This window comes from Homo sapiens, chromosome 19, assembly GCF_000001405.40.
Source record: "Homo sapiens chromosome 19, GRCh38.p14 Primary Assembly".
Classification (NCBI taxonomy): domain Eukaryota; kingdom Metazoa; phylum Chordata; class Mammalia; order Primates; family Hominidae; genus Homo; species Homo sapiens.
Genome location: NC_000019.10, coordinates 3,172,907 through 3,183,729, shown reverse-complemented (window position 1 = coordinate 3,183,729; position 10,823 = coordinate 3,172,907). Strand labels below are relative to the sequence as shown.

At 59.4% G+C, this 10,823-nt stretch overlaps 1 protein-coding gene across 1 annotated transcript, besides 6 other annotated features; it reads right to left on the bottom strand.

Moving 5' to 3' along the window:
• Nucleotides 2,714-2,763: an enhancer, noted in NCBI's record as "active region_13730". NCBI's record gives its function as "activates an Ori minimal core promoter by ATAC-STARR-seq in GM12878 lymphoblastoid cells {active_cell/tissue: GM12878}" and the evidence as "EXISTENCE:reporter gene assay evidence [ECO:0000049][PMID:35858748]".
• Nucleotides 3,374-3,603: an enhancer, noted in NCBI's record as "active region_13729". NCBI's record gives its function as "activates an Ori minimal core promoter by ATAC-STARR-seq in GM12878 lymphoblastoid cells {active_cell/tissue: GM12878}" and the evidence as "EXISTENCE:reporter gene assay evidence [ECO:0000049][PMID:35858748]".
• Nucleotides 3,398-4,961, bottom strand: S1PR4 (sphingosine-1-phosphate receptor 4). Its single transcript, NM_003775.4, has one exon. The coding sequence runs from the start codon at nucleotides 4,935-4,937 to the stop codon at nucleotides 3,783-3,785; it is 1,155 nt and encodes a 384-aa protein (NP_003766.1). The 5' UTR covers nucleotides 4,938-4,961; the 3' UTR covers nucleotides 3,398-3,782.
• Nucleotides 3,644-3,823: an enhancer, noted in NCBI's record as "active region_13728". NCBI's record gives its function as "activates an Ori minimal core promoter by ATAC-STARR-seq in GM12878 lymphoblastoid cells {active_cell/tissue: GM12878}" and the evidence as "EXISTENCE:reporter gene assay evidence [ECO:0000049][PMID:35858748]".
• Nucleotides 3,864-4,513: an enhancer, noted in NCBI's record as "active region_13727". NCBI's record gives its function as "activates an Ori minimal core promoter by ATAC-STARR-seq in GM12878 lymphoblastoid cells {active_cell/tissue: GM12878}" and the evidence as "EXISTENCE:reporter gene assay evidence [ECO:0000049][PMID:35858748]".
• Nucleotides 4,744-5,293: a silencer, noted in NCBI's record as "silent region_9831". NCBI's record gives its function as "represses an Ori minimal core promoter by ATAC-STARR-seq in GM12878 lymphoblastoid cells {active_cell/tissue: GM12878}" and the evidence as "EXISTENCE:reporter gene assay evidence [ECO:0000049][PMID:35858748]".
• Nucleotides 6,097-6,979: an enhancer, noted in NCBI's record as "H3K4me1 hESC enhancer chr19:3176749-3177631 (GRCh37/hg19 assembly coordinates)". NCBI's record gives its function as "activates a minimal SCP1, AML or CMV promoter by ChIP-STARR-seq in naive H9 embryonic stem cells {active_cell/tissue: H9 hESC(naive)}" and the evidence as "EXISTENCE:reporter gene assay evidence [ECO:0000049][PMID:30033119]".

The following is a 10,823-nucleotide window of genomic DNA, read 5'->3' as shown; positions in this document are numbered from 1 at the left end:
ATCACTTGAGCCCAGGAGATTGAGACCAGCCTGGGAAACATAGCAAGACCCTGTCTCTCTCTCTCTCTCTCTTTTTTTTTTTTTTTTTTTTTTGAGACGGAGTCTTGCTCTGTCACCCAGATTGGAGTGCAGTGGCACGAACTCAGTCCACTGCAACCTCGGCCTCCCGGGTTCAAGCAATTCTCCTGCCTCAGCCTCCCAAGTAGCTGGGATTACAGGCATGCACCACTACGCCTGGCTAATTTTGTATTTTTAGTAGAGACGGGGTTTCTCCATGTTGGCCAGGCTGGTCTCAAACTCCTGACCTAAGGTGATCCACCTGCCTCGGCCTCCCAAAGTGCTGGAATTACAGGGGTGAGCCACAGCACCCAGCCCCGTCTCTACAAAAAATATAAAAATTAGCCAGGTGTGGTGGTGTGCACCTGTAATTGCAGCTACTCGGAAACCCAAGGCAGAAGGATCACTTGAGCCCAAGAGATCGAGGCTGCAGTGAGCTATGATCACACCACTGCACTCCAGCCTGGGTGACAGAGCAAGACCCTGTCTCTAAAATATAAAAGAAAATAAAGAACTGTCCCATCAAAATCTACATGATCACATCCTAACCCCCAGGACCTCAGCATAGGATGTTATTTGGAAAATGGTTGTGGCAGATGGCATTAGTTAAGATGAGGTCATACTGGAGCAGGGTGGGCCCTTAATCCCATGTGACTGGTGGCCTTATAAAAATGGGGAAATCGGCCGGGCACGGTGGCTCACGCCTGTAATCCCAGCACTTTGGGAGGCAGATGGATCACCTGAGTCAGGAGTTCGAGACCAGCCTGGCCAACATGGCAAAATCCCGTCTCTACTAAAAATACAAAAACTAGCCAGATATGATGGTGCGTGCCTGTAGTCCCAGTCGGGAGGCTGAGGCAGGAGAATCGCTTGAACCCAGGAGGTGGAGGTTGTGGTGAGCTGAGATCGCGCCACTGCGCTCCAGCCTGGACGACAGAGCGAGAGTCCTTCTCAAAAAAATAATAATAACAATAATAATAATAAATGTAAAAATAGGAAAATGAGCCAGGCTTGGTGGTGCACTCCTGTAGTCTCAGCTATTCAGAAGGCTGAGGTGGGAGGATCACTTGAGCCCAGGAGTTTGAGACCAGCCTGGGCAACTTAATGAGACCCTCATCTCTTTTTTTTTTTTTTTTTTTTTTTTTTTTGAGACGGAGTCTCTCTCTGTCACCCAGGGTGGAGTGCAGTGGCCTGATCTCCGCTCACTGCAAGTTCTGCCTCCCGGGTTCACGCCATTCTCCTGACTCAGCCTCCAGAGTAGCTGGGACTACAGGCACCCGCCACCACGCCTGGCTAATTCTTTGTATTTTTAGTAAAGATGGGGCTTCACCGTGTTAGCCAGGATGGTCTCTATCTCCTGACCTCGTGATCCGCCCACCTCGGCCTCCCAAAGTGCTGGGATTACAGGCGTGAGCCACGGCGCCCGGCCCCTCATCTCTTAAAATAAAAAAGGTTGAAGGAGTTGGGGGAGTTTGGATACAGACCCAGGGAGGGCGCCTTGTGGAGATGGAGGCAGAGATGCGGCTGACGCTTCTCCAAGCCAAGGAACATCAAGGACGCCGGCCACCAGCAGGAACTGGGAGAGGCCTGGGCAGATCCCCGTCAGCCTCAGGAGGACCCAGCCCTACTCACACCTTCATCTCAGACTTCTGGCTTCCAGAATTATGGCAGCATAAATGTCTGTTTTCAAGCCTCTCCATCTGTGAGACTGTCATGGCTGCCCTAGCAAATCAATACACTGAGAGACTAAATTTTTAACTTTCATTTAATTTCTTTTTTGTTGTTGTTTTTGTTTTGTTTTTTGAGACGGAGTCTCACTCTATCGCCCAGACTGGAGTGCAGTGGAGCAATCCCAGCTCACTGCAACCTCCACCCTCCGAGTTCAAGCGATTCTCCTGCCTCAGCCTCCCGAGTAGCTGGGATTACAGGCGCCTGCCACCGCACCCAGCTTATTTTTTGTATTTTTAGTAGAGACAGGGTTTCACCATCTTAGCCAGGCTGGTCTTGAACTCCTGACCTCATGATCCACCCACCTCGGCCCCCCAAAGTGCTGCGATTACAGGCATGAACCAATGCACCTGGCCTAACTTTCATTTAATTTCAATGAATTTTCTTTTTTTTTTTTTTTTAATTTTTTTTTAGAGACAGGGTCTCACTCTGTCACCCAGGCTGGCACGATCACCGCTCCCTGCAGCCTCGACCTCCCGGGCTCAAGTGATCCTCCCACCTCAGCCTCTCGAGTAGCTGGAACCACAGGCATGCAACAACATGCTCGGGCTAATTTTTTTAATTTTGGAGGATTTTTTTGTAGAGATGTGGTTTCGCTATGTTGCCCAGGCTGGTCTGGAACTCCTGCACTCAAGCAATCCTCCTGCCTCGGCCTCCCAAAGTGCTGGGATTACAGGCATGAGCCACCACACCCAGCAATTTCCATGAATTTTCAATAGCCGTGTGTGCCTCACAGCTGCTGTGTTGGTGGGTAAATGGCCCCCACACACCGCATTCCCCATCGTACAGTGGAGAAATAATGACTTAAAGCAGAACTTTCTGAGCCCAGGCGGCGGGTGGTGTGGATTCTGACTCTGCTCAGACACTGGACTGGACGGGACTGGCTTGGTCCTGGGAGAAGGTGGGCGAGAGCTGTCTATGAGCTGCAGGTGCTGGAGGCTTCCGGATTTACATCTGCACTGAAACTGTGGCCACCCGCCCCATGGGGCTACCGAAATATAAACAGATTCAAATTAAACACAACCTACACTTCGAAATTCAGTTATCTGCTTGCACCGTAGCCCCGTGGGGCTGGCGTCTCCCATACTGAATGGTGTGGAGCTGAAACGTCTCCACTGGAGTTTCACGGGGCAGGCAGTTGTCAGCCCCTGTGGCTGGCGGGGAGCGTGTACAATCAACCCTGTGCTTCGGCTTCAGTGATTAAACTGTTTTACCCACCGGGAAAGCCGAGGCCGTTCATGCTGAAGGGGATGTGAGGGAAGATTCCCCCAGCCCAGGAAGCCAAGGTGGTGCCTCTGCCAGCCCCAGAGAGTGGGTCCCCAAAAGATGCAGAGGCCAGAGATGGGGCATGGGCCCTGCCATTTCTAAAGGGGAAGTGAACAAGAAGAGGCGGCATTAACTGTCATTGTCACCCCCACTTCCCGCAACGCCCAGAGGTTGTCCACACACACACACACACACACACACACACACACACACTCCACCCTCACAGGGCACTGGCCCGTGGCCCTCTCTAGCAAAGACACACCCGGCTGCCCCTAGATCCACAGCCCCCCTGAGCCACGGCCCCCACGCATGCACGCACCAGGGAATAAGAGGCCGCAACATCACGTACCATGATCGAACTTCAATGTTGCCAGGGCATGCATCCCACAGTCCACCCCTTGCAGCCTGGGAGCCCTACTGAGGCCCAGAGAGGGGCCGGGACTTCCCCAGAATCACACAGAAGCGGGGTTGTGGGGAACCCACTCGCCCCCACACCAGGGTGCTCTCTGCTCCTACGGGGAGGTGGGGTGGTTGCCTCCTTGTCCAGGGTGACCATGGGAAGCCCATTTGGCGTCAGAAGCCCCGAGAGGCCACCGGGAAGACCATGGGGGCCTGTCCCGTTCCCTGCTCCCCATACAGGCGAGGCTGCGTGCACACAGCTTCCTGTACCCCAGGAGGGCCTGCCTGGCACGCACCCGGTGGCTGCACCATCCACACGCAAGACTGCAACTTCAGATGCTCCGCACGCTGGAGATGCTGGACAGGGGCTCCCGCATCCGAAAGCTGAGCGAGCGGGAGCCGCGAAAGCTGTCCCTTGGCCTCAGAGAGCTGTCGGTGGTGGAAGCTCCGGAGTGAGCCTCGACGGCCCGGGCCAGGCAGTCCCCGGGCCCTCGCATGCCCAGCCGGAGACACCCGCAGCAGAGGAAGCTGAGCACGGCTCTGCACACCTCCCTGCTGCGGAAGGAGTAGATGATGGGGTTGACCGCCGAGTTGAGGACGGCCAGGGCCAGGATCCAGTCCATGCCCCGCAGGTACTCCTGGGCCCAGAGGTTGGAGCCAAAGACGTCGGCCAGCAGCAGCCCGAAGAGTGGGCCCCAGCACACCAGGAAGGCCAGCAGGATCATCAGCACCGTCTTCAGCAGGCGGCGGGCCTTGCGGCGGGCCGCTGGGCGTGGGGCCTTCTGCCCGCTGGCCTGCACCAGGCGGAAGATGGCCCCATAGAGGCCCATGATGGTGGCCAGGACGCCGGCGAAGATCACCAGGCAGAAGAGGATGTAGCGCTTGGAGTAGAGGGGCAGAAGGCTGGAGCAGCGGTCAAAGGCGCACAGGCAGTTCCAGCCCAGCAAAGGCAGCATCCCCAGCAGCGCGGCCAGCAGCCAGCAGAGGCCGATGAAGCCGTAGACGCGGCTGGTCTTGGTGGCCCCGCTCTCGGCCACCGGCCGCACCATGGTGGCAAAGCGCTCCCCTGCAGTGAAGAGCAGGCTGAAGGTGGAGGCGGCCAGGGCGGTGAAGAGCAGGCCCTCCCGTAGGAACCACTGGGCGGGCGCCAGACGGAAGGTGCGGGCCCCCGACAGCAGCACGTTGGCCAGGTAGGCCGCGCCCGTGAGCAGGTCACTCAGCGTGATGTTCACCAGGCAATAGTAGACCCAGCGTCGCGACCGCATGTGGCTGGTGATGGCCGCCAGCACCAGCAAGTTCTCCAGCACCACCAGGCAGCTGGCGGCCACCGACAGCCCCCGCAGGGCCCCCAGGCCGCCATCCTCCGGCCCCCCGCGCCCGGCCAGCCGGCCCGAGTGGTTGTAGTGCAGAACAATGAGCCGGCTGTGCCCGCCGGCCGCCAGCTGTTGGCAGGACTCGGGGGCCACCGGGGTCCCCGTGGCGTTCATGGCCTCCCCCGGGGGCTGACTGAGGCCCGACGCAGGGTGGAGCCACCCGCCTTGCTGGTCTTGGTTTCCTGTTATTTGAAATTTCCTGTTATGTTCAAGGTGCCCTCCAGGGTGGAGGTAAGGCCGAGGACAGGGAGGGGCACCCCAACGGTCGGCCCCCACCCGGGCTCCTGGAGCCAACGCGCTGGGGCTGCCCTGGCTGTGAGGACCCCCACCCCTGCCCTGGCTGCCTTCTTCCTGTCCTCGAAAGCCGGAGACCCGCAGGGAGCCCCGGAGCCGTCAGTCACGGAGGGGAAATGAGTCCCCACTCGGGATGGGCCACCCCTTTCCAGCCGGACGACTCCTCCCCACCAGCCCTGATCACCCCCGAAGCACCCGTCGGCTCCACTGAGGTCTCCCCACATGCTCCACCGGCGCTCAGCACACAGCAGGTGCCTAATAAATGTCAAGTGCCTGCATGCCCTTGAGCACTGACTCATCCGACTTGATCCCCGAAACAGGGCCTGATGCGTTACAGAAGAGGAAACTGAGGCCCAGAGAGCCCGGTGCGTTGCAGAAGGGGAAACTGAGGCCCAGAGAGCCCGATGCGTTGCAGAAGGGGAAACTGAGGCCCAGAGAGCCCGATGCGTTGCAGAAGGGGAAACTGAGGCCCAGAGAGCCCGAGGCGTTGCAGAAGGGGAAACTGAGGCCCAGAGAGCCCGAGGCGTTGCAGAAGGGGAAACTGAGGCCCAGAGAGCCCGATGCGTTGCAGAAGGGGAAACTGAGGCCCAGAGAGCCCGATGCGTTGCAGAAGGGGAAACTGAGGCCCAGAGAGCCCGATGCGTTGCAGAAGGGGAAACTGAGGCCCAGAGAGCCCGAGGCGTTGCAGAAGGGGAAACTGAGGCCCAGAGAGCCCGAGGCGTTGCAGAAGGGGAAACTGAGGCCCAGAGAGCCCGATGCGTTGCAGAAGGGGAAACTGAGGCCCAGAGAGCCCGAGGCGTTGCAGAAGGGGAAACTGAGGCCCAGAGAGCCCGATGCGTTGCAGAAGGGGAAACTGAGGCCCAGAGAGCCCGATGCGTTGCAGAAGGGGAAACTGAGGCCCAGAGAGCCCGATGCGTTGCAGAAGGGGAAACTGAGGCCCAGAGAGCCTGATGCGTTACAGAAGGGAAAACTGAGGCCCACAAAGGCGGCCTGAGGCCAACTTTCTGCCCATGGGAGGACACACAGGTCCAGGGAGAGAGACCCCCAGGGACAAGCTGGTAGGGTCTCGGGGCCAGGCGCCCATTTTGGGATTCATGGTTGCCTCTCCTGCCCCTGAGCTCACCCTGCTGGGAGCAGAGCTGCTGGCCCCCTGGGGCAGCCCCCCACTGGGATTGAGGTGCATAGGAAAAGTAGGGACTTGCTCACCCCATCCCCATGGCCCTGCTGACAACGGCTCACGGTGACTCAGCCTGAGGTGAGGTGGCTGTGGGTCTAAGTGGGAGACACACCCTGCTCTGGCGTCTGAGGAGGGAGGCAGGCTCTGCCCTGGCGTCTGAGGGGGAAGCTTGGACCTGCCTGGGGTCTGAGGGGGGAGGGTTGGCCTTGCCCTAGGTTCTGAGAGGGGAGGCATGACCTTACCCTGGGGTCTGAGCGGAGAGGCTCAGCCTTGTCCTGGGGTCTGAGGAGGGATGCGAGGCCCTGTGCTGTGGTCTGAGAGGGGAGACACACCCTGCCCTGGGTCTGAGGAGGGAGGTATGCCCTGCCCTGAGGTTTGAGCGGGGAGGCTTGAACCTGCCTGGGGTCTAGGGGTGAGGGTTGGCCTTGCCTTGGGGTCTGAGTGGGGAGGCATGGCCCTGTCCTGAGTCTGAGGGGGGAGGCGAGGCCCTGCCTTGGGGTCTGAGGGGAGAGGTGAGGCCCTGTCCTGGGGTCCAAGGGAGGAGGCGAGGCCCTACCCTGAGGTCTGAGTGGGGATGCTCAGCCTTGCCCTGGGGTCTGAGGAGGGAGGCTCAGCCTTGCCCTGGGGTCTGGGGCATGTAGGGGCTTGGACATCATCTGTCACGGATGGAGTGTGAGGTCTCTGCTCTCCAGCTCCCCCAGTGTCTGTGACCCCCCACTCGTCCCCATCCAGAAGGCCTTGGGGTGTGGGGTGATTTGGGAAATAATGCAGGCCCCAGAAGTGTGAGTAGGACCCAGGATAAGTCCCTGCTGGGAGCCTCCTCCCGCCTGCAATCACCCCCAGGCCAGGCCCACTTACCACCAAGGAGGGTCCTGAGGGGCCCCACCTGCCCTCTGTCCCCCCAGGAGCCTGTGGTCTTCAGCCTTCCTGAGACAATGGTGTCCTTGGCCTCAGGGTGGGGGCAGCTACACTAATTCTACCAGTAAGGTGTCCTGGAAGGGTCACAAGTGTACTGCGAGGACACAGGTGTCCCATGAGGGGCACAGATGTCCCGTGAGGGCTCAGGTGTTGAAGGCCGAAAGAATGAGGGTTGTGATCAACTCAGTATACCACTGGAGGCTACGTGAGTAAACAGCAAACTGTTCTCATGAAAGCAGGCTGTTGGCAAACTGACAAACTGCGTCTGCCGCCCAGAAGGAATGCTGAGGGCAGTCACGCCCCAGGCACAAGTGTTTCTTGCAAGTAGGCAAATCTGAAACCTGTTAGCAATAACGTGAACGTGTGAACAATCAAGCAGCTGGCCAATCGTTTCCTCCCCCTGCTTTCTACCCAATAAGTACGAAGGGCTGTAGAAGCTTGGGGGGCTGCCTTTGCTCACTAGAAGCAGGGAGCTCTCTTTTTCTTCCCCTGGTCCCTTCCTTTAAAACAGTTTCTTCTGTCTTAAGTTTTCATTTCTACATTCGTCCCTTCGTTCAGTCTTGTAATGATGGTCTCAAGTAGTAACAATAGTAACTGTCGTAGTGACAGTCTCAGGTAGTAATCATGGCAACCACACACAGGCGTCCCATGAAGGGTACAGGCATCCCATGAGGGCACAGGTGTCCCATGAGAATGCAGGCGTCCCATGAGGGGCACAGGCATCCCATGAGAACACAGGCATCCCATGAGGGGCACAGGCGTCCCATGAGGGTACAGGCATCCCATGAGGGCACAGGTGTCCCATGAGAATGCAGGCGTCCCATGAGGGCACAGGCATCCCATGAGGGGCACAGGCATCCCATGAGAGCACAGATGTCCCATGAGGGGTACAGGCGTCCCATGAGGGTACAGGCATCCCATGAGAACACAGGCGTCCCATGAGGGGTACAGGCATCCCATGAGGGCACAGGCATCCCATGAGAACACAGGTGTCCCATGAGAACACAGGTGTCCCATGAGGGCACAGGCGTCCCATGAGAATGCAGGCGTCCCATGAGAACGCAGGCGTCCCATGAGGGCACAGGCGTCCCATGAGGGCACAGGTGTCCCATGAGGGGCACAGGCGTCCCATGAGAACACAGGCGTCCCATGAGGGGCACAGGCGTCCCATGAGAACACAGGCGTCCCATGAGGGCACAGGCGTCCCGTGAGAACACAGGTGTCCCATGAGGGGCACAGGCGTCCCATGAGAACACAGGCGTCCCATGAGGGCACAGGCGTCCCATGAGAACACAGGTGTCCCATGAGGGGCACAGGCGTCCCATGAGAACACAGGCGTCCCATGAGGGCACAGGCGTCCCATGAGAACACAGGTGTCCCATGAGGGGCACAGGCGTCCCATGAGAACACAGGCGTCCCATGAGGGCACAGGCGTCCCATGAGGGGCACAGGCGTCCCATGAGAACACAGGCGTCCCATGAGGGCACAGGCGTCCCATGAGGGCACAGGTGTCCCATGAGGGGCACAGGCGTCCCATGAGAACACAGGCGTCCCATGAGGGGCACAGGCGTCCCATGAGAACACAGGCGTCCCATGAGGGCACAGGCGTCCCATGAGAACACAGGCGTCCCATGAGGGGCACAGGCGTCCCATGAGAACACAGGCGTCCCATGAGAACACAGGCGTCCCATGAGGGCACAGGCGTCCCATGAGGGCACAGGCGTCCCATGAGAACACAGGCGTCCCATGAGGGCACAGGCGTCCCATGAGGGCACAGGCGTCCCATGAGAACACAGGCGTCCCATGAGGGCACAGGCGTCCCATGAGGGCACAGGCGTCCCATGAGGGCACAGGCGTCCCATGAGAACACAGGCGTCCCATGAGGGGCACAGGCGTCCCATGAGAACACAGGCGTCCCATGAGGGCACAGGCGTCCCATGAGGGGCACAGGCGTCCCATGAGAACACAGGCGTCCCATGAGGGCACAGGCGTCCCATGAGGGCACAGGCGTCCCATGAGAACACAGGCGTCCCATGAGGGCACAGGCGTCCCATGAGAACACAGGCGTCCCATGAGGGCACAGGTGTCCCATGAGAACACAGGCGTCCCATGAGAACACAGGTGTCCCATGAGGGCACAGGTGTCCCATGAGAATTCAGGCGTCCCATGCGGGGCACGGGCATCCCATGAGAACACAGGCATCCCATGAGGGGCACAGGCGTCCCATGAGGGTACAGGCATCCCATGAGAACACAGGCGTCCCATGAGGGCACAGGCATCCCATGAGGGGCACAGGCATCCCATGAGGGCACAGATGTCCCATGAGGGGTACAGGCGTCCCATGAGGGTACAGGCATCCCATGAGAACACAGGCGTCCCATGAGGGGTACAGGCATCCCATGAGGGCACAGGCATCCCATGAGAACACAGGTGTCCCATGAGAACACAGGTGTCCCATGAGGGCACAGGCGTCCCATGAGAATGCAGGCGTCCCATGAGAACACAGGTGTCCCATGAGGGCACAGGCGTCCCATGAGGGCACAGGCGTCCCATGAGAACACAGGTGTCCCATGAGAGGCACAGGCGTCCCATGAGAACACAGGCGTCCCATGAGGGCACAGGCGTCCCATGAGAACACAGGTGTCCCATGAGGGGCACAGGCGTCCCATGAGAACACAGGCGTCCCATGAGGGCACAGGCGTCCCATGAGAACACAGGCGTCCCATGAGGGGCACAGGCGTCCCATGAGAACACAGGCGTCCCATGAGGGCACAGGAGTCCCATGAGAACACAGGCGTCCCATGAGGGGCACAGGCGTCCCATGAGAACACAGGCGTCCCATGAGGGCACAGGCGTCCCATGAGGGCACAGGCGTCCCATGAGGGGCACAGGCGTCCCATGAGAACACAGGCGTCCCATGAGGGCACAGGCGTCCCATGAGGGCACAGGCGTCCCATGAGGGGCACAGGCGTCCCATGAGAACACAGGCGTCCCATGAGGGCACAGGCATCCCATGAGGGCACAGGCATCCCATGAGGGCACAGGCGTCCCATGAGAACACAGGCGTCCCATGAGGGCACAGGCGTCCCATGAGAACACAGGCGTCCCATGAGAACACAGGCATCCCATGAGGTCACAGGCGTCCCATGAGGGCACAGGCATCCCATGAGGGCACAGGCGTCCCATGAGAACACAGGCGTCCCATGAGGGCACAGGTGTCCCATGAGAACACAGGTGTCCCATGAGGGCACAGGCATCCCATGAGGGGCACAGGCATCCCATGAGAACACAGGCATCCCATGAGGGGCACAGGCGTCCCATGAGAACACAGGCATCCCATGAGGGGCACAGGCATCCCATGAGAACACAGGCGTCCCATGAGGGCACAGGCATCCCATGAGGGGCACAGGCGTCCCATGAGAACACAGGCATCCCATGAGGGCACAGGCGTCCCATGAGAACACAGGCGTCCCATGAGAACACAGTTGTCCCATGAGGGCACAGGCGTCCCATGAGGGCACAGGTGTCCCATGAGAACACAGGTGTCCCATGAGAACACAGGTGTCCCATGAGGGCACAGGTGTCCCATGAGAATGCAGGCATCCCATGCG